This window comes from Homo sapiens, chromosome 18, assembly GCF_000001405.40.
Source record: "Homo sapiens chromosome 18, GRCh38.p14 Primary Assembly".
Taxonomy (NCBI): Eukaryota; Metazoa; Chordata; class Mammalia; order Primates; family Hominidae; genus Homo; species Homo sapiens.
The window spans coordinates 13,814,048-13,836,864 of NC_000018.10; the positions used below are offsets into that span (position 1 = coordinate 13,814,048).

Consider the following 22,817-nt stretch of genomic DNA (forward strand, 5'->3'; position numbering starts at 1 on the left):
TTAGCCATAGGCCGCCAATATCATTCCCTGCTGATATGTAAAAATTTTAAAAACCATGTGTGCAATTTTCCATCAGATGGGTGCACCACTAAGCATTCTGTATGCCTTGTCCAATCTTAAAGGGACTAGGGTCACCTTGGAACTTTGCACTGTCTGATGTCAAACTTCATTATGCTCCAGGTCAGGCATCATAAAATTAATAAATTCAAAGTTTGGGAAAACAGGGAAAAACAATGCCCTAATCCATTTTCATTTTTATTTCCCACTGGCCTTTGTCCAAATGCATAAATATTCTAACATGATTACAATCATAATGTACATTTGCATCTTATTATATTGTAAACATTTTAAAGCTGATTAATGATTTTCTTTTTTTTTTTCCGAGATGGAGTCTTGCTCTGTCACCCAGGCTGGAGTGCAATGGTGCAATCTCGGCTCACTGCAACTTCTGCTTCCCGGGTTCAAGTGATTCTTGTGCCTCAGCCTGCCAAGTAGCTGGGATTACAGGTGCGCGCCACCATGCCAGGCTAATTTTTGTATTTTCAGTAGAGATGGGGTTTCACCACATTGCCCACACTGGTCTGAACTCCTGACCTCAGGTAATCCACCTGCCTCAGCCTCCCAAAGTGCTGGGATTACAGGCGTGAGCCACTGTGCCTGGCCTTGAGTTTCATAATTTTTAATGACTGGGTAATAGTCCTCTCAGTAGACATAATTATTTAATTTGTCATTATCCTATTGTTACTTTTTTTGAAATTATGAATAATTCTGCGATGACTGTCTTCATCATGATAGCTTTATCCTTCATTTGGACTACTTCCTTAGATAAAGTCTCAGCAGGGGGTAATAGGGTCTGCTTAAACTGTAGCAGTAATGTAAATATCAATTGCTTGCCTTAGTTTCTGGGAGTGGATTTACATTCAGTCTGTTATTGAGTACCTTTAAAAAAAACTTTTTTTTTTTTTTTTCAGAGGCAGGGTCTATCTGTGTCACTCAGGCTGGAATGCAGTGGTGTGCCCGTAGCTCACTGCTGCCTCAAACTCCTGGGCTCGTGCAATCCTCCCGCCTCAGCCTCCTGAGTAGCTGGGGCTACAGGTGCATGCCACCTCACCTGGCTAATTATTTTATTCTATTTTTGTAGAGATGGGGTCTTGCTTTGTTGCCCAGGCTGGTCTTGAACTCCTGGCTTCAAGGGATCCTCTGGTTTCAGCCTCCCAAAGTGCTGGAATTACAGGCATAAGGCACCATGCCCAGCCTGTTATTGAGTATTTTTTAAATTGAACTTCACTCTTATTAATAGAAAACATGTTGACTTTGATAGTAGCATAATTTGGACAAGAATTAAGCAGATTTTAAATGAGACACTGCTTGATTTGTGTAGAGGTATTTTTGAGTAAATGCTTCTTTTTTCCCTGTAATTCATCCACACGCAACTAGAAACTTGAGAGGATGAAGAAGCATTCATGGAAAACTAACAATGTTAGTTTTTAAGGCACGCAATTGATATTTACATTACTGCTAGAGTTTAGGCAGACCCTATTACCCCCTGCTAAGAGTTTATCTAAGGAAATAGTCCAAATGAAAGATAAAGCTATCATCCTAAAGATGTTCATTGCAAAAAAACAATTAACTATGATGATTAGCATCGTACCTGGCAGAGCCTCTTCACATTTGTGGATTTCAGTGGCTATGTGAGTTTTGAAAGACCAGTATCTTTTTTTTTTTTGGAGATGGAGTCGCACTCTGTCGCCCAGGCTGGAGTGCAGTGGCACTATCTTGGCTCATTGCAACCTCTGCCTCCCAGGTTCAAGTGATTCTCCTGCTTCAGCCTGCCAAGTAGCTGAGACTACAGGTGTGCACTGCCACACCCGGCTAATTTTTGTATTTTTAGTAGAGACGGGTGTTCACCATGTTGGCCAGGCTGGTCTCAAAATACTGACCTCAGGTGATCCACCCACCTTGGCCTCCCAAATTGCTGGGATTACAGGCATGAGCCACCACGCCTGGCCAAGACCAGTATCTGTTTTATGTGTGTCTTTGATATGTGTGGAAATGAGGAAATTCAAGAAGTAAATGGCAGGACCATGAAAATTCTTCCTTAGTTTCTACTTAAACAAATTTAGATTCAGCACAGTATTTAGTAAACGGTGCATGATGGCAGGAGTCTAAAAGCTAACCTACATTAGCTCAGAAGGTGTGGTCCACAGAATGGACCTGGAATGCCTTGGGCTACTGCCCTCAGTTGCATTCTGTCCTACGAAAGAGCTCATGGCTCAAGCTTTCCAAATTAATAAATACAGAGTTTCTAAAAATATAAAATAAATAAGAGCAAATTGCAACAGTAAAACCTTAATATCAACAATCTGCTGTGGAGACTGAAGAAATATATTCTCCATCACTGACATATACCTCATTTCTATTAGCAGACAGTGAGTGAACGCTCATTGTGATTGTCATTACATTGCAGACTTTTACTACCCACTGTGGATACTTTTGAAAAATATATCTTGATTGACTGATATTTCTTTCTCTCATTTACCTCCTCTCCATACCTAAAGAAGCTATCCAGGGAAGAAAGAAAACTGGATGTGTAATTCTATTTAATTTGTTTTATATTTATTCCTCAAATCACTCGTTTCTTTGAAATAAAACACATTTTTAAACATGATTTTTTTAATTGTTCTCTTAATTGTCTTCTTGAAATAAATGGGTTATACCAGAGTCATATCTACTCTTGTCACATGCACTGGGACTTCAGTGTGTGGCTTTCAAAGGTCAGAACTCTTCTCTCTTGTCCAGATGCCAGTGATGAAAACTGAGGAAGGAACCTTCTGGTGGTGGCCTCATGCCTGCCCCCTTTCTGGGTGCTGCATGCTCCTCTATCCTGGAGGAAGAAGGAAGAAGTGGGTCCCTGGACTGAGTGTGGAACTACGTGAACACCCGACCTGGCCAAGGTGATTGGCCTATGCCTGATCGGTGACTCACGAGCTGGGCCAGTCAGATGAGCTATTGAGCATTTGGACACAGAGACTAGCTGTGATGGTCTGGATTACTGCTTGGGAAGTGTTTACTCCATGTTTCCCTCCCCACTCTGGGTGGAGTGCTTCACCGCCCATGGAGGTTGGGCTTGGCCATGCAACCTGCTTTAGTAGATGAAATGGTCCCAATCATAGGCCTCAAGTATGGTGCCTAGCTCTCATGGTCTGGCAGGAGAATATGCCCCAGGCCGCCACTGTCCCCTCATCTTTGAGCCCCAGTGAGGTAGGGACTGCACCTCCTAGCCACTGGGCCAGAGCCTAAGCAGACTTCAAACCGCCTTCAGTCTGGGTCTTAGAGCTTAAGGTCTGGCATAGCCTTGCTGAGTTGCAGTTGAATTGAGCATGAGAGTAGGTCATTTTCATTTTAAGCCCCTATACTTTAGGGTAGTTTATTATTCAGCATTGCTGAGGCCACAGCTGACCCCTACACTAGCAATGGTTTGGTTGTGGTTCTTGCAGACAGCAGGTCATGCCGGCTGGGGTTGGGGTGGCTGCTTTGGGGCCCTAGAAGCTAGGGAATAAGTAGAGGAGACTGCAGACACCTCTTGCTCATTTCCCTGCTGCAGTGTCTTCCTTGTTTCTTGAGGACTGATTTCTAAGTGGTCTGGAAAGAGAGAATGGTGCTCAGTCATACATATCACAAGTATTTTTCCCAGTGTCTTCTTACGTTATTTTTTGCAGTCTGGAATTTTGTAACAAGGAAGACTGATATCCTGAATAGAATGTGTTGATCAATCTAGGGAAGGACTGTGTAATGACAGAAAGAAAAGTGGATCTGAATGTTCTTAACCAACTCAAATGGGCATTCTTAATACACAGTCACACTGTACAATGAGAAGGAGGCGAGAGCTGTTCAACTTGAAAGATGAACACTGTACTGTTAAGATGGCGACAACTGTGTGTAAGAATTTGATGCTCTGCTAGGCTGTGATACAATAGAATACTCCAGAGAAAAGTAAGTGTGCAGTGGGATTTGAGGACTAGGATTTTCTTGGTGGCAAGAATAAGAAAACCAAATCCAACTTGTTTAAATGATAAAGGGAATGTATTAACTCAGGGAACTGAAGAGTCCAGAAAAACTCAGGCTTGTGAAGGGCTGGACCGGTGGGGTCAGCAGCACCAGGTCCTGCTTCTGCTCCCACCTCGAGGCTGGTCCTGCATGACGCTGGCACAACCCAAGGCTTGGCTGTCCCGGGGTGGAAAGCAGGTGGTCAGCAACAACCAGGGCTCTGTTAGGCTTTAAATCACTCATAGTCGGGGAGACAGTGCACCTCTGTGGTAGCTGCCACTGAAGAAGGAGAACATTCCTTCTCAGAAGTTCCTAGAAGTCTGCTTTAATCTCGTTTAATCTCGTTTGCCTGGATTGGGTCATGGGCTGACCCTCAAATGAATCCTTGTAGCTAAAGGACTGTGCAGGCCACACTGGGTCCACATGGCTGGGAGGGGTCAGCCCAATGCTGGTTGGTCACTGGGGCCACCACTGGGAGTCCTCTGCCCAGCAGAATTCACAGTGCCCCGAGGCAGGAGTTGAGACAGGCAGATAATTACCCTGCAATGAGATCGGAGCTGGGGTGGGGAAGTGAAGGGGGCTGCCACTCAGGCAGGTGTAGGGGTGTCCACAGAAGAGTCCCAGCAGGAGCTACGGGCCTGGGCCTAAAGGATGAACGGGAGGTTAGAGGGCAAAGGAGAGGAGAGATGGAAATAATTTTGGGTAGAAGGAGCATCAAGAAGTTTTTCAGAAGCCTGAAGTAACAATTAGTATTGAAGAGTCTTCTTAACAAAAATTGGCTAAGTAACTACAAGAACTGCAAGATTGAAATACCGGAAAAGAGACTTCCTCTCCAGATCTTGTGGCTAACTTCCCAGTGATTACCTGGGTGCTGGACTAAGGCATCTCTGAGTATCTCCCCAGTGAACGATTCCACACCCTTCAGCAGGAGCACAGTGAGTTCCGTTGCTTATCAGGAGCTATGTGCTTCTGGAAGGAAAGGACTGTCTATTCGGTCTTCAGTCTAACATCCTTAGCTTTTTCTCTTTTTTTTTTTTTTTTTTTTTTTTGAGACGGAGTCTCGCTCTGTCGCCCAGGCTGGAGTGCAGTGGCATGATCTCGGCTCACTGCAAGCTCCGCCTCCCGGGTTCACGCCATTATCCTGCCTCAGCCTCCCGCGTAGCTGGGACTACAGGCGCCCGCCACCATGCCCGGCTAATTTTTGTATTTTTAGTAGAGACGGGGTTTCACCATGTTAGCCAGGATGGTCTCGATCTCCTGACCTCGTGATCTGCCCGTCTCGGCCTCCCAAAGTGCTGGGATTACAGGCGTGAGCCACCGTGCCCGGCCCCTAACATCCTTAGCTTTAAACTAAATGCAAAGGATGCTTACTGGGTCCTGTTCAAAGATGAGAGGTGTGTACAGTTTCAAACATAACCTTCCCCAGGGACTTTCAGAATCTTGACCTACATGGCATTGCAGAGATTACGTCTTTCTAGCAGTCAAAATAAAACAAACATTAAATAGAAATGAAAAACCAAAATAGAAATTTGAAAATTCCCCCAAATCCCACACCAAACCCCAAGTCCTCGTTTTCTGGCTTGAGAGGGAATATTGAGGGTTGGTGTGGAAGGGTCCCACTGTGCCAACACTGTGTGTAGCCTGCTTGTTCAGGGCCGGTTTTTGTTTTCGGCCTTGACACCTCAGAGTCAGGATTACTTGGTAATTTTGCTGCAGCTGCCAAGAGCTGGGCCTGAGCATGAATTGGCAGCATCCCCAGGCAGGGGGTGGAGAAAGGGATTCAGCCCAGGGGCCTGTTCATCTCGTGAGGTTCTGCCACTGATGCACAACCTTCTTCCCACCTGAACTCCTCCAGTGCCATCTCCTCGCCGTGGCTGGGCTGCTGTAACGCTACAAATCTAAAAGTGTTGTGCTGCTGCTTAAGCCCTGGCAAGGCTTCCCCTTGCCTTAGCCTCAGTACCTTCGTAGAACCTGCAAAGCCTTGGGTGCCCTCACAAGCTCTTTCTCCAGTCACTGGCACTCTCTCTCTCCCTCAAAGAAACCCACCCCTCCCGCCTTAGCGCCCTAGCTGGATGTTCCCCAGCCTCCTCCCACCTGGTGACCGCATTTCACCCTTCAGCCCTCAGCTTCCATCTCCTGCTTTGGCCCATTCTGTACCCATCACGGGCCTCTCTGCATGTCCAACTCTCTTCCCTTCGCTTCATGCTCTCTCCCTGTTCCTCTCTGCCTGCCTTTGGGATCCCAGGGCACCTGAGTTTCCTCCTCTGTGGCAATGGGACTGAGGCACAGGACTTGAGTCCTTAGACTGTGATTAAGCACAGATACCACCTGGAAGTCTGGATTCAGATCCTGATCCTGCTTTCATCACCAACTGAGAAGTCACATGACTACTCAGAGCTTCAGCTTCCCCATCTGTAAGATGCTGGGAAGAATGTCGACTTTATAGGGCTGCTGGGAGAATTCACTGAGAATACGGACATGCAGACCACAGTATTGGACACTGCAGGCTCCCAGCAAATGTTCCTTTCCTTTTCTCTAAGTAAGGTGGGAAACTCGTGCATATCTAGGATCGCATTGCCCAATGTTCATGTGTGACATGGGCAAGTGCATCTACATAAATGTGGGCTTGGGATTGAGAAGATTTGGATCAACAGCTGGTGGCACCACTGACCAGCCAAATAGTGTCAGAAACTCCATGAGCCTCAGAGTCTGTGTCTATGAATATGGTAATAATGTTAATACCTTCCAGGGTTGCTTTAAGGACTACGTAAGTTAATATATGAAAGTATTTTGTAATCCTTGGAGTTTAAAAATTGTCATAACCCAGCACTTGTGATTATCTTGCTTTCTCAGCACTCACTTGGGTGAGCTTTGCCTTGCAGCAGGTCTTTTAGTGCCTTCGTCCAGCCCCTTGGTGGTGTTGAGCACAGAGATGACATTTGATAAGAGTTTTCTGGCGCCATGAGAGCGACAGACACAGAGCTGTGCCAGACACCTCAGGGGAGGACCTGCTGCCCAACTGTAGGGGTGGTCTGCTGCCTCCCCCAGCTGTCAGCCCCTCCGGTTTGGCCTCACACCTTCCCGGAAGCAGCTTGCTTCTGGTGACTGAGCTGGGTGGGGCGTGAGGGCTGAGGTTGTTGGAGCTGCCTGGCAGCTCTCTTCTCTCCCTCCCCTCCCATCCCTCCCTCCGCAGGCCTGCCCCCAGGAGGCTTCCCCACAGCATCCTGCATGGTGAACTCTTCAGAGCCTGTGACTCAGAGAACCCAGGCCGAGACATCCAGTGTCCAGCTAGATTTGACCCTTGCAAGCCTTCACAGATATGACTCCACGGGTTGTCTCTGTGCACTCGAATTGAGAATCCTCTCTGTTGTCATTGTTCAAGAAATAAAACACCTGGGTTGTTGCATGTTATGCTGGTCTTTGACAGGGAAAGGAACATTCCTTCCTGGGTGGCTCATGTCATCGTGTGTGTTCAGCATTGTCATTAGGCTGCTGTTTGGGAGAAAGTTTCCAATGACAGGAACAGTTGAAGAGCTTAGTCTCTATTCTCTTAACTCTATTAACCTTAATTCAATTATTTTCCTGCAAGAAACCGAGAATTCCTACATCACCTAAGGTGTTTCAGAATATAAAAATAATCAAAATATTTCCCCAGTTTATTAAACAAAGTTAGGGTAACTTATATACCAAAATCTGATAAAGACAGTATGAAGACAGGAACACTGCACATCAAATCCAGCAGCATTTTAAAAGAATAATGCCCGGTGGCACCAGGGCTCTCAGGGAGGCTGCGTCCTGCCGGGGAAAGTGCTTGGGCTCTGAGTCAGTCGGGGCTCAGCTCTCTAGCGCTGGAAGCTGGAGCTTGCTAAGTCACCTCTCCCAGCACCGGCTCCTTCCATTGCGAGAGGAGAAACCCACTTCTAGGGTTTCGTAAAGGTTGAGGAAGGTAATTCCTGTGCAGCACTCAGGGTCACCCCTGCACATAGGGCCCCTGGGCCAGCCGCCCTCACCACTGTGGGAGGCCGCCTGCTGTGGTCCAGCTGCTCATCTTGCACAGAGCCCTCCATTTTGAGCACTTTCCTGGGACACCAGGACCTTTTGCAGAGCCCTCTCTGATCTGATCTTGGATGTGAGGACTATATGTGGGAGTGCTTGACCCTGCTGATGTTTTCAACACACGGAAATGGGTTCCCTCCCTCACACCACATTCCCAATATGTATTCTCAACATTCAGAACCTCCTTCTAGAATTCCACCCTGTGGCTCCCAGCACGGCTTGGGACTCCAGTGGCGTGAGGCCAGCCAGACTGTGGTCCCCACACTTGAAATACTGGAAGGTTGTGATCATCTGCAAAGCCCAAGGAAAGCTCTGGTAGTGATATGGCCCCGTGCATCCTGCCCTGGCTTGCAGGGCAGTGGCACTTCTGCTTATTGTGAGTATAATGATTCTTTTGGGGGTTGAAGGTCAGTTTTAGGTGTCAGAGAAGGAGTGGGGTCCAGAAACTATTGCGAAAGGCCAGGATATTTGGTGAGAGGACATCCTTTGTTCTTTTTTGCTGGAGTAAGGAAAGCCTGTGTGGTTGATAAAGCCTGGCATGGCATGTGTAGTCCTGGAGGAGGGGTGAGAGCCTTGGGCAAAGAGGGGCGTGGTAGGGCCACAGATGAGGGCTCCCAGGCACTGGGCCTCCTTCCCAAAGAACAATCATCAGGACATCCCAGAGACCACTGTCCAGGAGAAACGGGGTGACAAGCCCTCTTTGAGCTCGGGAGCATTTTAATCAGTGCTCAAGAGGAAGAGAAAAGAAACAAAAAGTGCAACCAGCCAGAAAAACAACCAAGCAGCTACCCACCCAACCACCCATCCACCCACCCACTGACCCAACCAACCACTCCCCCACCCAACCACCTATCCATCCACCCACCGACCCAACCAACCAACCAACCAACCACCCACACAACCACCCATCCACCCAACCCACTGACCCAACCAACCAAACCAAGCAACCACCCACCCAACCACCCATCCACCCACCCACTGACCCAACCAACCTAGCAACCACTCACCCAACCACCCATCCATCCACCCACTGACCCAGCCAACCAACCAACCAACCAACCACCCTCCCAACCACCCATCCACCCACCCACTGACCCAACCAACCAACCAAGCAACCACCCACCCAACGACCCACCCACCCACCCACTGACCCAACCAACCAACCAAGCAACCACCCACCACCCACCCACCCACTGACCCAACCAACCAACCAAGCAACCACCCACCTACCCAACCAACCCCCACTTACCCAATCAACCAACCAAGCAACCATCCACTCACCCAACCAACCACCCACCCACCCAAGCAACCAATCAACGAACCAAGCAACCACCCACCTACCCAACCAACTACCCCCCACCCACCCAAGCAAGCGAGCAAGCGAGCAAGCAACCAAGTAACCATCTACTCACTCAACCAAGCAACCACCCACCTACCCAACCAACCAATCAACCAACCAAGCAACCACCCACCTACCCAACCAACCAATCAACCAACCAAGGAACCACCCACCTACCCAATCAACGAACCCCCCACCCAACCAGCCAAGCAACCAAGTAACCATCCACTCACCTAACCAATCAACCAATCAACCAATCAGGCAACCACCCACCTACCCAACTAACTAACCCGTAACCACCCAACCAACCAAGCAAGCAACCACCTGCTCACCCAACCAACCAATCACCAAACAAGCAACCACCCACCCACCCACTCAACCAACCAACTACCCAACCAAGCAACCACTCACCCAACCAACCATTCAACCGACCGACCGACCGACCGACCGACCCACCGACCCGACCGACCAACCAACCAACCAAGCAACCATCCAACCATTCAAGAGTGTGTTCGGGGGGATTTTCGCTCGGGGCTGACGCGGTTCTCTGGCCGCTGTGCCGTGCTGGGCCACTAGGTGGCAGCGGAGGCCGCCCGGAGCGACAGCCGGCGGTGCGGAGGCGGGCCCGGCGCGGGCAGGCAGGAGGCTTAAAGCCCCGCAGAGCCGCAGCCGCCTAGCTGGGGGAGAGGCCCGTCCGGGGCTGGCTCTGAGCGCCGCACGGCCGTCGGATCCCGGGGACGCCGGGGGCCCGGGCTGAGCGCCGCGGCCCGCGAGGAGGAGCACCGGTAAATAGCCACAACTTTCTATCTCCTTGAGATCCTGAGAATAAATGCAAAATCGCGCTTCCGCTGCATGTGGAAGTGAGCGGGGCGGCAGCTAGCTTGCCCCGTGAGTTTTTAACACAGCTCGATATGATGTTTAGTATAATTGCATAATTTACCGATATATCTGAGCTGGAACTCAGCTGTAACAAATGATTGTAGTTCAATAAATGCTTAGATTACCAATTTTTTCCTTTTTTATTTTTATAGATTTAGGGGGTACAGGTGCTGTTTTGTTATATGGATGTATTGCATAGTGGTGGAGACTGGGCTTTTAGTGTAGCCATCACCCCTATAGTGTACATTGTACCTATTAAGTAATTTGTTGTCCCTCACCCCCTCCCTCCCTCCCAAAGTGATTACAAATATTAATGATGACAGTGATGACAGAAATTCTCTCCAGATGTGATCTGAGTTTGGAGGGCAAAGGGATTTTTGAAAATGAATCATAAGAGAGAAATTTTGCAACAAAGGAGTGTGGTACATTTAAATTGCTGTTTTTTTTTTTAAATACTGTGCTCACGCGGACCTAATAAACTATCAAGCAGACCTCATGGAATTCCACATAATGCAGAAGCGAGGGAAAAATAGGTATTGAGGGAAAAGCAGCACTGTTTTCCTCAATTTTAACACGTATGTGCAGCCTACACTTACAAACTTAAGACAGTAGCTTTTAACATGTGACTTTGCTCAGGGTAACAGACCATTCTGGTTATAGCCTTACTTACAGCTGTGGAGGCTGAATCCTGATGGGTCTAAGAAGTGTCAGGACAAGTGTTAGGGATGCACCTGTCTGTCTGTCTTAAGGGAATACGGGTCTGGGCAGTCTTAAATCGGAGCTCCCTTGAGGAGAATGTCGTGCAGTAGCCTTAGGAATGTGAACATTGGGAGACTGGCTGGGATTTTGTAGGTTATGAGTTGGGGACACTTATGATAGTGAACTTGAGCCCAGGAGAGAAGCCATAAAAAGTGAAACTGTCCTGGGCACTTGGAGGTGAGTGTCTCTCTAGTAAGATGCATGTGAAAGGCTGGGAGCTGAAAGCAAGGAGAGCAGAAGAGGCTGGTGAAGATTCTAATCTGCGTGTCCAGGGGCACTCTTCCAGGTCTCAGGAACGCAGGTCAGAATGTGCAAGCCAGCTGCCGGGCACGTGGCTCACCCCTGTAGTACCAGCACTTTGGGAGGCTGAGAGAGAAGATCGCTTGTGGCCAGGAGTTTGAGACCAGACTGGGCAACATAGGGAGACCCTGTCTCTTAAAAAAAAAAAAAAAAAAGGACTGAGTGAGCCGAGCCCAGTCCTCTGATGCACTGTGTCATTCATCCCCTTTCTTAGGCTGTGTTGGTTCTAGGCTAGCTGCTGTCTTTCTTTGGTAGGCTGCTAACCTCTTTGGATTGTGAATTTAAAACATGTTTTACAGTAAATTTGCTGCCAAGACAAGAGGTGTATTTCTCCAGCAATGAATTCCTCATTTCACCTGCATTTCTTGGATCTCAACCTGAATGCCACAGAGGGCAACCTTTCAGGACCCAATGTCAAAAACAAGTCTTCACCATGTGAAGACATGGGCATTGCTGTGGAGGTGTTTCTCACTCTGGGTGTCATCAGCCTCTTGGAGAACATCTTGGTCATAGGGGCCATAGTGAAGAACAAAAACCTGCACTCCCCCATGTACTTCTTCGTGTGCAGCCTGGCAGTGGCGGACATGCTGGTGAGCATGTCCAGTGCCTGGGAGACCATCACCATCTACCTACTCAACAACAAGCACCTAGTGATAGCAGACGCCTTTGTGCGCCACATTGACAATGTGTTTGACTCCATGATCTGCATTTCCGTGGTGGCATCCATGTGCAGCTTACTGGCCATTGCAGTGGATAGGTACGTCACCATCTTCTACGCCCTGCGCTACCACCACATCATGACGGCGAGGCGCTCAGGGGCCATCATCGCCGGCATCTGGGCTTTCTGCACGGGCTGCGGCATTGTCTTCATCCTGTACTCAGAATCCACCTACGTCATCCTGTGCCTCATCTCCATGTTCTTCGCTATGCTGTTCCTCCTGGTGTCTCTGTACATACACATGTTCCTCCTGGCGCGGACTCACGTCAAGCGGATCGCGGCTCTGCCCGGGGCCAGCTCTGCGCGGCAGAGGACCAGCATGCAGGGCGCGGTCACCGTCACCATGCTGCTGGGCGTGTTTACCGTGTGCTGGGCCCCGTTCTTCCTTCATCTCACTTTAATGCTTTCTTGCCCTCAGAACCTCTACTGCTCTCGCTTCATGTCTCACTTCAATATGTACCTCATACTCATCATGTGTAATTCCGTGATGGACCCTCTCATATATGCCTTCCGCAGCCAAGAGATGCGGAAGACCTTTAAGGAGATTATTTGCTGCCGTGGTTTCAGGATCGCCTGCAGCTTTCCCAGAAGGGATTAAGCACAAAGTGCTCCTCTCTGTGGCTCTGTTCTCCTTTGTTTGCTCACCTATGACAAAGCGACAGCCAAGGGGTAGGCGGGAGTGCTAGCATCCCATTTTTCTCTTTACCAGCTCAGACATGGGCCTAAGAGGCTCTCTCTGTTCAGTTCCTGGTGATTATGTCCAACATGCAAGGGTTGCTTATCCACTCTGGGGACAGTCATGACAATTTCTTACTGTCCTTTTGTGTCCTATGGTTTCTACTGCTCCCACCCATTTCTGGGGGCCCCATCCACCCTCCACCTAGCAGGCATGTGCTCGGGGAATGCACAGCACCCTCAGTGCAAGCCAGACATGATGAAACACGTATTGTGACGCGAAGAAAACCGTGATATCGACGCCAGGTGGGATTGCTTCTTCTCCCCAGAAGCAGGTCCACACTCTGCTGGCTGCACTCTGAGCTATGCATGCTTTTCAGGGAAGAAAAGAGTGGCCAGATTCTTTCCATCAGAAGCAATCTGTTCATTTGTTCTGAAATGTCTTCTTTGCTCCCCTTGCCTGAACTTTTGATTCATGGCTTTTGTTCATAATTGTCTGAATAATTGTACTTCTGTCAATCATGGTGTTGCGCTTACCCAGACATAAAACCTTATGCTAGAAACCCTGCCTCATGTGCTGTGGAAGACTCTGTGACTCTTTCTTACTGTCTTATTTGGGCTCAATCTGGGGTTTCCAAAAGGATGACTGGGGGCATTACAGGGGCTCAAGGAGTTCAAGGTGCCCAGTGCTGCAAGTAGCACACGTCCACAGCCAGGCTTGCTTTGAGTGGCTCACACCGGATCTGTGTTGGAGTCTGAACTCTGGCCTGTGTACTTGGAGGCATGTCAATCTCATTTCAGCAGCCAACAAAGGTCAGGGCCCAACCTATAGCCCAGGGAGCCCCATCTTCTCCCAACCTAGACTGGAGCAGAGAAACCCGAGTTCAGGTGCTAATTCTGCCTTTCACTGCTGTGTGGCGTGAATCATCTTATTTCAGGTTCCACATCTGTGCTGACTGTACACGATGGCCATGAGAACTGCAAAATTGTGTGAGCTTCTTGTAAATTTGTAAAGCACTATAGGGTTTGCTTTTTATTTTAAAGAAATGCTCGGATTAGAGGTGTGAGCCAGAGGTTGCAGTGAGCCAAGATTGCACCATTGCACTCCAGCCTGGGCAACCATTCAAGACTCTGTCTCAAAAAAAAAAAGAAAGAAAAAGAAAAAGAAAAAGAAATGACTAGATGGGGTAAATACTAAGGAAGGACACGGGGGCCAATGGTCAGAGCAGTGGCCTGGACACCAGGAGGCTTGTGTGGTCCTTCTCTGAAGCAAAGGGCTGGAGTCCTTGCAGCTCTCACAGTCCACTCTTGTAATAACTTTTGGTATGATTCCTATTTTCTGCTTTGTATTGGACATTCACATCTAGACTGCACCCAATGAAAAAAATGTATATAAAGCAGAGGACCATTGGGTCACACAACAGTGAGCTGCTAGTGCAGAAGAGGGACCCTTCCTGTTGAGGCCTGCCAGGACAGAGGGGCTTCCTGGGTGTAGCCATATCAATAACTTATGCACTTGACCCCTGCCCCTGGAAATGCAGAGTCCAGGAAAGAAACGGTGCTGGCATGAACAGGAGTGTGCATAAGACATCCAAATCATTTGAAAACTGGCAAATTAGCAGGCTGTTGGCAACTGAGTTTTGAAGGGGCAGCTATCTTTTCAAATGTTTCCTGTTCCTTTTTGCTGAAAATTCATGTGTGTATCCACGAATGGGCAGTAAGTGGTCCCGTGTAACCACCATGGGGAACCACAGTGCATTGTTCCCGTGGGATGTGTCTCAGGAGCCTGGCTTCTGTGAAAGCTGGCCTCTCTTCTGCCCCACGCATCTCGGTGGCCCCATGTCCTACAGCAGCTTCAGGCATGGAGCAGGTGCACCAGGAATGCTTGTTATTGTTGCAAAACAAATGTGTATTGACTCTTCTGCCTGCTAGACCTGAGTACTAAATGAGTTCCAATCCTATGGGCAGAAACTTCAACCCTGTGGTTGACACTGGCCCCGTCTAGGAACCCAATTCTCTTTAGGCTAATTTTCTGCTCTGGTGCTTCATGAGTTGCTACAAGATCTGACCTTTCATAAAAAGGTCTTTATGGAAATGCTCAAATGCCTTTTAATCTTTATAAATAGTGCAGAAATAACCCTAGTATTTAGATGTGTCTTCATTTGGAAGGAATACATGTGTGTAGTGACTTGGTAAATATCTGTACATAAATGAGCCAACCCTTAGCACCCAACACAAAGTGTCTCCCCCAAAAAGAATATATATAACTGTCAAATATTGTATGATATGGTATGTTAAATATCTGCTTCTGTAGGAAATTTGTTTGATGTAAAAACGTGTGTTCAAGGAAATGGTTAATAAAATGGAAGGAGCAGACCACCTGTTTGAACTGGTCATTCTGATATCCAGAATGGTTTTGGTCTTTCTGCCAATTCGTTAGCAGCTACTGCAAAATGAGAAGGCACATTCGTTGGTGACTTGTGGTGAAGTCTCCTTGACAATATTTATTGCCTGTAGGATGGCCATGTCTCAGACCAAAATGATATAACACCTACAAATAAAATAAAATTGCACACTTGACCTTATATACTGTGCAAAAGTCTGTGTCTTAGTGAGCAAGCATTTTAGGGATATCACCTAGCATGTGCTCACAGTGGGGCTAGAAGCAGTGGCCATTAGAGAATCTCTGCCATCAGTGAGTTTATAGGACATTAGTTATTTCAAGACATGACAGATTTCCAGATCCTACACATCAATAAAATTAGATGACTCTGAGCATGTCTTGTGTTTTTCTGCTTCCAGATTGTGTTGAAGCTGCACAATCTTCAGGGCACACCGTCTATACCCATATGAATCTTAACGTTCATCCCAGATGCCTTTCTTCTAGGAGGCCCTTTTGACCTCCATAATTATACCTCACAATGGCACACATTCTGCTGGGTACTCCGGAGAGTAGATTGTTTTTATGTCCTTTGCCAGAACACAAGCATCTTTGTGAGAAGGGATTTGTGTCAGGGCAGTGCTGTCCAACAGAACCTTCCACGATGATGGGAATGTTTTGTCTCTGCTTTGTCCACTATAGTAGCCACTAGCTACATGTGGCAGTTGAGCTTTTAAAATGTGGCCAGTGTGACTGAGGACCTGAATTTTTTTTTTTTTCTTTTTGAGACAAAGTCTCACTCTGTCGCCCAGGCTGGAGTGCAGTGGTGCTATCTTGGCTCACTGCAAGCTCCACCTCCTGGGTTCACGCCATTCTCCTGCCTCAGCCTCCCAAGTAGCCGGGACTACAGGTGCCCGCCACCATGCCTGGCTAATTTTTTTTTTCTATTTTTAATAGAGATGGGGTTTCACTGTGTTAGCCAGGATGGTCTCGATCTCCTGACCTCGTGATCTGCCCACCATGGCCTCCCAAAGTGCTGGGATTACAGGCATGAGCCACCGCACCCAGTCCTTGAATTTTAATTTAATTTAATTTTAGTTAATTTATATTTAAATAACTGCATGTGGCTAATGACTACCATATTGGACAGCACAGAGTTAGAAGCTGGTTTGTTACACGTAACAGAAAACCTGCAGAAATCCAGTGACGTGGCCAAGATGAAAGTTTATTTCTCTTTTACAGAGAAGAAGTTGGGAGGTAAGGATTTCAAGGCTAGAATGGAGCTCAAAGGCACAATAAAGAATCCAGACTTCTATCTTTTTTTAAAAAAAGAGATGAGGTCTTGCTGTGTTGCCCAGGCTAGTCTTGAACTCAAGTGGTCCTCTTGCCTCAGCCTCCTGAGTAGCTGGGACTATGTGTACCACCATGCCTGGCTTCTATCATTGTTTAAGGTCAATTCATGGCCCAAAAGGGCTGCTGGAGCTCCAGCCATAATAGCTGAATTACAGGTTAGAACAGGAGAGGCAGTCAGGAATGGCAGCTTTTCATCACAGGTGTTCTTCATCATCCTGGGAAATCATCTCCTCTTATTTCTTTGATTAATTTTTTTTCTTTTTCCATTTCTCTTTTTCTCTTTTCATGACTCGTATTAGTCAAACATGGGTCCATCGGCATCCATCTTCCATGTCCCTGAATCTTTCTCGTACTACCTGCTTCCTCTCTTGTCTTTTTTTTATGTGTTCTGAAAGACTTCTTCAACTTTGTCTTTTCCCCCACCTCTTCTATTGAATTTTAATTTGGTAACTATATTTTTAATTTCTGTGACTTTCTATTTATCCTTTCCTTGCCTTCTTTTTATAGCAAGCTGTTCCTGCATTCATAGACCCATATCTTGTCTATTTTTTCTGAAGACTGTCATTAGATTTTTTAAAACTCTGTCATCTGACTTGAATCATTTGTTTCCTCCAAAGTCAATTGTCCTGTTTATCATGCTCCTTCTCATGGGTAAGGCTCATTTCCCTCAGCTGCTGGGTGAACCTGGATTGTCCACGAAGGAGTGGGCTTGATTGATTTAGTACTTGCATGGGTCCGTGCAGCTCTGCTGGATGAAAACAGCTGGTTGTGCAGCTCTGTGGTGGTGTGTGGAGCCCATCTGGTGGCAGAGGTTACGTGAAGGGTGTCTAGCTGCACCCTGTCTGCTAATAGAATAGCCTGTTCTATTAGCCTGTCTGAGCTAAAATGAGAGAGAATTTACTATGGGGATCGGTTCTTCATGCTGGGAATGCAGCTCCCCCTAGGCATCCTCCTGGGTGCTTTGGGGGTATGATTTTGCATTCACTCTGAGGGCACCCTGGGGAGATCGGTGTGGAACGGCCATGCCACAGTTCTGCATGTGCTCCTTCTGTGGGTCCCCTCAATTGTTTCATATCCTTCCATCCTGGCTCTCAACTGCTGACCCTGACGGCTCCCTCCCTGGTTCTCTCTTGTGTGCCTTGGGCTGGGGCTTCCTTTAGTCTGTTTTTCTGTCAATCCACCCCACCCGCACTCCAGCTTCTAAAATTCTTCCCAAGTTTAGTCCTCTGTTGTCTCCTCTTCTGTTCTCAGAACTTTTATAAATTAGTTTTCCTTTATATAAACTTTTTACTGTCATTTCTGTGGATTTTCAGAAAGGAGTGGAGGTAGAGGTATAATCTGCAATGAGGAGTGAGGAATCCTTTCAGTACATTTTTAGAAGATGGTTGGGGCTAGCAAGATCCATCCTGTAGGCAAAGCAGAAAAGCAGGAGACCACCCAGGACCCAGGCCTAGCTCTAAGCTGGCTCTATTTAGAAGCACAGTCATGCCCGGGACGGGAGCCTTTGCCAATGTCAACAAGGGGAAGGAGTCGTGCCTCACCCTGGCTCCTTGATCAGTCTTTCTTCTTGTCCTGGACCATACATAACTAGAGAGAGCAAAGCAATCGGTGACTTCAAATGGAGATCATAACCCAGAACAGAGAACACAGGTAGGCAGCGCCACATCTCAGAGTCCCTGTCAGGAGACGTCCACTCATCTGTTCGGCGCAGACTGGTCCCTTTAAAGTTAATGGTCAAACTCTTTTTTGCCAGCAGGTGGTGGTAAACTTACCTCAAAATTTTTGTGTCTTCCACTAACCCTCTGACCAGCCAGTTAATGAGTTAAAACAACCCCAGGTGAGAATTCTTTCCAAGGCCTCAGTGCTTAAAAACTGCTTAAGTCCGGGCATGGTGGCTCACTCCTGTAAACTTGGCACTCTGGGAGGCAGAGGCGGGCAGATCGCTTGAGGCCAGGAGTTCGAGACCAGCTTGGGCAACACAGTGGGACCCTCACCTCTACAAAAAATAAAATAATTACTGGGCATGGAGGCGTGTGCCTGTAATCTCAGGTACTTGGGAGGCTGAAGTGGGAGGATCACCTGAGCCTGAGAAGTCGAGGCTGCTCCAGCTTTGGTGATGGAACAAGACCCTGTCCCGGGAAAAAAAAAAAAAAGCTATTCAAAAAATTTTTTGAGTGCAAATTGCAAGGTTTTGAAAGCATTATCTCATTTAATCCTCTAACCATATTAAAAATAGATAAATATGGCCAGGTGCAGTGGCTCATGCCTGTAATCCCAGCACTTTGGGAGGCTGAGGCGGGTGGATCACCTGTGGTCAGGAGTTTGAGACCAGTCTGGCCAACATTGTGAAACACCGTCTCTACTAAAAATACAAAAAATTAGCCAGGCGTGGTGGTGGGCGCCTATAGTCCTAGCTACCTGGGAGGCTGAGGCAGGAGAAATGCTTGAACACGGGAGATGGAGGTTGCAGTGAGCTGAGATCATGCCATTGTACTCCAGCCTGGGCAACAAGAGCGAGACTGTCTCAAAACAAAAACAAACAAAAAACCAAAACAAAAATTGATAAATATTACTATGCCTAATGCCTCCCTAAGGAGACTGATGCTTATAGAGATTAAAGAACTTGTCTAAGCTTCTACTCCTAATTTGTAGTTGTCTTTTAATTCAAATTTAGGGGTTTCAGAAGTTGCCCCATTTCTTTGTTGAGTCCATGGATTTCTATGCTCTCTTTGGGTTCCTGCTGCTGTCTGCATGGGCCCAGTTTGATTCCTTCATCAGGACTCTGACTGCATAGCCTTCCATCCCCTGCCGTGTGTGTGTGTGTGTGCGTGTGCATGTTTGTGTGCACACGTGTGTGTTGGAGGGGCAGGGTAGAGACGGGATGAGAGGTGACAGGCAGCTGAGGTTCCAGATAAAAGTGACTGGTAAGAGCAGATGCCAGGGGTGGCTGTAAAAATTCTGGTCTAGATCCAGCTTCCTCCAGAAGCTGATAGTGTGGCTCCCTCATGGCTAGCTGTTCAGGATTGCTACATTAGATGGCATGGCCTCTAAATAGTGGTTCCTCCTCAGCATGTGGGGGAGGCTGGTGCTGTGCTTACTCCAACCCCTTCTTCTGGGATTGTCTCCCCAGCTCCTCCCCACCAGACATGAGTGATAGGAGGAGGGTCCTTCATAAAACCCACTATGCAGGGGCTGCAGCTGGAGGCACTGTGGCTGAGGCATCTTTCCAAGTCTTTCCTTGATGGCCCTGGGTGCAATACTCCTTACAGATGGCTAGAACATCGTCAAAATATCCTCTCAGTAGTTTTTTGAAGTTTCTGCATTAATGCCAGTTTTTTGGGATGACACTGTCTTCCAGGGCCCACAATCGTTTATTTATTCAGCAAGTAATTATTGAGTACTGATATTAGGAGCATAGCAGGAAGTAAGATGCAGCTTCTTCCCTGAAAGGGTCCATGCCTGCGTTAAACTGGAGCAAAGAAGTGGAACTGGAAGAGTTATTTGTTATTTAAATAAATGATTTGAAGAAACAGTCCATAGGCATTTGATGCAAATAATTCTCAAGCATATGAAAAGATTTACGACATTTGTTTTTGTTTTTTTGTTTCAAGTTTCTGGTGAGTTTAATTTTATACCAAGCACGGATCCACGACATTTCTTATAGAAAGATGCAAGTCCAGATTACTTTGTGATACCATTTTCAGCTATCAGAAGTCAACAATCCAAAGGTTTGTTAACACACTGCTGATGAGGCTGTAGGGAGCTTGGCCCACTTCTCTGTTGCTGGGAGAAGTGTAAGTTGGTACAATTACTAAAATGCAAAATATGGCAACATCTGTAGCCATAAAATTGATCAATGCACATGCCGTTGGACCCAGCATTTCACTTATGGGAATTCATCCTACAAATGTAGTAGCACAGAGGTGAAACTACATATGTAAATGGTTGCTCATACAGCACAGACTGTAACAGCAAAAGACTGGAAGCAATCCAAATATTAATCCTGCGTTTTCTGACCCCTGTCTGAATGTCAGTTTAATTAAGCCTTATGAATGTTGAGTAAGGTTTGGGAACACAGGCTCCTTCTACTTCATTTAGCCTTGGGTTAACAAATGGCAAATGAGCGGATGTCTCACTGATTTCTCACGCTGCTATACTTCCGAGAAAACACAGATTCCGAGATTAGGACTGAAGTCACAGTCAGAGATTTGTAACTGTATGTTTTGGCATTTGGTACTAGCAAATCTAACACCTGCCTGAAAACCACGAATAGAGCTCTAATTACTGAGCCCATATTGGCTTGTTTCCTCTAAGTACTGGCTTTTTACTGCCTGTCGGCTTAATAAACATCCAAATTCCTCTGTGAGTAGGAGTCACCCAGGTGAGGGTGAGGAAAGACCCCGGGCAGGAGAAAGAGTGGGTGCAGAGGTCTAGAGCAGCAGTCCCCAGTCTTTTGGGAACCGGGAACCTGTTTTGTGAAAGACAATTTTTCCATGGACAGGACTGGGGTTGGGAGGTGGGATGGTTTTGGGATGATTCAAGTGCATTACGTTCATTGTGCACTTTATTTCTATTATTATTACATTGTAATATGTAATGAAATAATTATACAACTCACCATAATGTAGAATCAGTGGGAGCCCTGAGCTTGTTTTCCTGCAACTAGATGGTCCTATCTGGGGGTGATGGGAGATGGTGATGGATCATCAGGCATTTGATTCTCATAAGGAACACATAACCTAGATCCCTCACATGTGCAGTTCACAGTAGGGTTCACGCTCCTATGAGAATCTAATGTTGAGGAGGCTGATCTGACAGGAGGCAGGGCTCACGCAGTAATGCTTGCTTGCCTCTGCTCACCTCCTGCTGTGCGGCTTGGTTCCTAATTGGTCTGGTCTGTGGCTGGGGGGATGGGGACTCCTGGTCTGGAGGGACTGCACGTGGCCACAGCAGAAGTCCCCACAAAGTGAGCACCCGGCCCACGGCTGTGCAAGATGAATCCCTGGAGTTACAGAAGGAAATATTATCTAAATAGCTATGCTTTACTGATTTAAAAATAAAATCAGCAATAAGATGTGTATATAATTGGTAAATACGTACTCAAAATATATGACTGGTAAAAATACACAGAAAATTATCTACTGATAAAGATTCATGATGGAAGAGTTTGGACACCAGAAGAAAGAATGCGGAGACGAAAGGAGAGTCCATGGGGCTGAAACCGAGACAGATGGGTAGTAGATGCACAGTCCCCATTTTAAAGAGGTTCTATTTCCTCCTAAGGGTAATAGGAGCTTATCAAGGGGTTTTCCACCAGGAAGTGAATAACACGACAAGAGTTTATATAAATCATGCTGCTATAAAGACACATGCACACGTATGTTTATTGCGGCACTATTCACAATAGCAAAGACTTGGAACCAACCCAAATGTCCAACAATGATAGACTGGATTAAGAAAATGTGGCACATAATACACCATGGAATACTATGCAGCCATAAAAAATGATGAGTTCATGTCCTTTGTAGGGACATGGATGAAATTGGAAACCATCATTCTCAGTAAACTATGGCAAGAACAAAAAACCAAACACCGCATATTCTCACTCATAGGTGGGAATTGAACAATGAGATCACATGGACACAGGAAGGGGAATATCACACTCTGGGGACTGTGGTGGGGTCGGGGGAGGGGGGAGGGATAGCATTGGGAGATATACCTAATGCTAGATGACACGTTAGTGGGTGCAGCGCACCAGCATGGCACATGTATACATATGTAACTAACCTGCATGTTGTGCACATGTACCCTAAAACTTAGAGTATAATTAAAAAAAAAAAAAAAAGAAACATCTCTGGCTCTGGGGTGGCTGTGAGAGTTCAGCCGGTGTCAGGAGGCATCCAGATAGTGTTTCGGTTCCTTGGGCAAGAGGGATGCTGGCCTGGGTGGCTGTGAAGGGGGCAGAGACTGGAGGTGTCCAGTCTGGGGGTAGAATGTGGAAAGTAAGGGGTAGAAAGAAATCAAGACAGCCTGATTTCTGACTAGAGCCGCAGGCAGGGCGTCTCCGGAGATGGGGAAATTCTGTGTAGATATCAGACAGGCAGTTGCGCAAGAGAAGGGCACAGCACGGGCAGTGCCCGCAGTCACAGGATAAGGCTGCACGAGGAGCGACTGCAGGGCGAGGAGCGACAGCTAGATCTGTGGACAAGCTTCCAGAGCCGCGTGCCTGGGGCTGCTACGGAAGCGGGCAGACTCCCCGCCCTGGGCTCTGTCCTGCCCTTCTTGTGCCTGGCCTCTTTCTAGGGAGCCAT

At 47.2% G+C, this 22,817-nt stretch overlaps 1 protein-coding gene across 1 annotated transcript, besides 4 other annotated features; it reads left to right on the plus strand.

Annotated features, from left to right (window-relative positions):
- Positions 9,771–9,951: a silencer, noted in NCBI's record as "fragment chr18:13823817-13823997 (GRCh37/hg19 assembly coordinates)". NCBI's record gives its function as "represses an EF-1alpha promoter that drives an FKBP-Casp9 reporter gene in an ReSE screen in both phorbol 12-myristate 13-acetate-treated (for megakaryocytic differentiation) and untreated K562 erythroleukemia cells {active_cell/tissue: K562 | K562(+PMA)}" and the evidence as "EXISTENCE:reporter gene assay evidence [ECO:0000049][PMID:32094911]".
- Positions 9,917–10,206: a silencer, noted in NCBI's record as "silent region_9335". NCBI's record gives its function as "represses an Ori minimal core promoter by ATAC-STARR-seq in GM12878 lymphoblastoid cells {active_cell/tissue: GM12878}" and the evidence as "EXISTENCE:reporter gene assay evidence [ECO:0000049][PMID:35858748]".
- MC5R (melanocortin 5 receptor) lies at positions 10,102–13,276 on the plus strand. Its single transcript, NM_005913.3, has 2 exons — positions 10,102–10,227; positions 11,680–13,276. The coding sequence occupies exon 2, from the start codon at positions 11,719–11,721 to the stop codon at positions 12,694–12,696; it is 978 nt and encodes a 325-aa protein (NP_005904.1). The 5' UTR covers positions 10,102–10,227; positions 11,680–11,718; the 3' UTR covers positions 12,697–13,276.
- Positions 10,217–10,306: a silencer, noted in NCBI's record as "silent region_9336". NCBI's record gives its function as "represses an Ori minimal core promoter by ATAC-STARR-seq in GM12878 lymphoblastoid cells {active_cell/tissue: GM12878}" and the evidence as "EXISTENCE:reporter gene assay evidence [ECO:0000049][PMID:35858748]".
- Positions 20,906–21,406: an enhancer, noted in NCBI's record as "H3K4me1 hESC enhancer chr18:13834952-13835452 (GRCh37/hg19 assembly coordinates)". NCBI's record gives its function as "activates a minimal SCP1, AML or CMV promoter by ChIP-STARR-seq in primed H9 embryonic stem cells {active_cell/tissue: H9 hESC(primed)}" and the evidence as "EXISTENCE:reporter gene assay evidence [ECO:0000049][PMID:30033119]".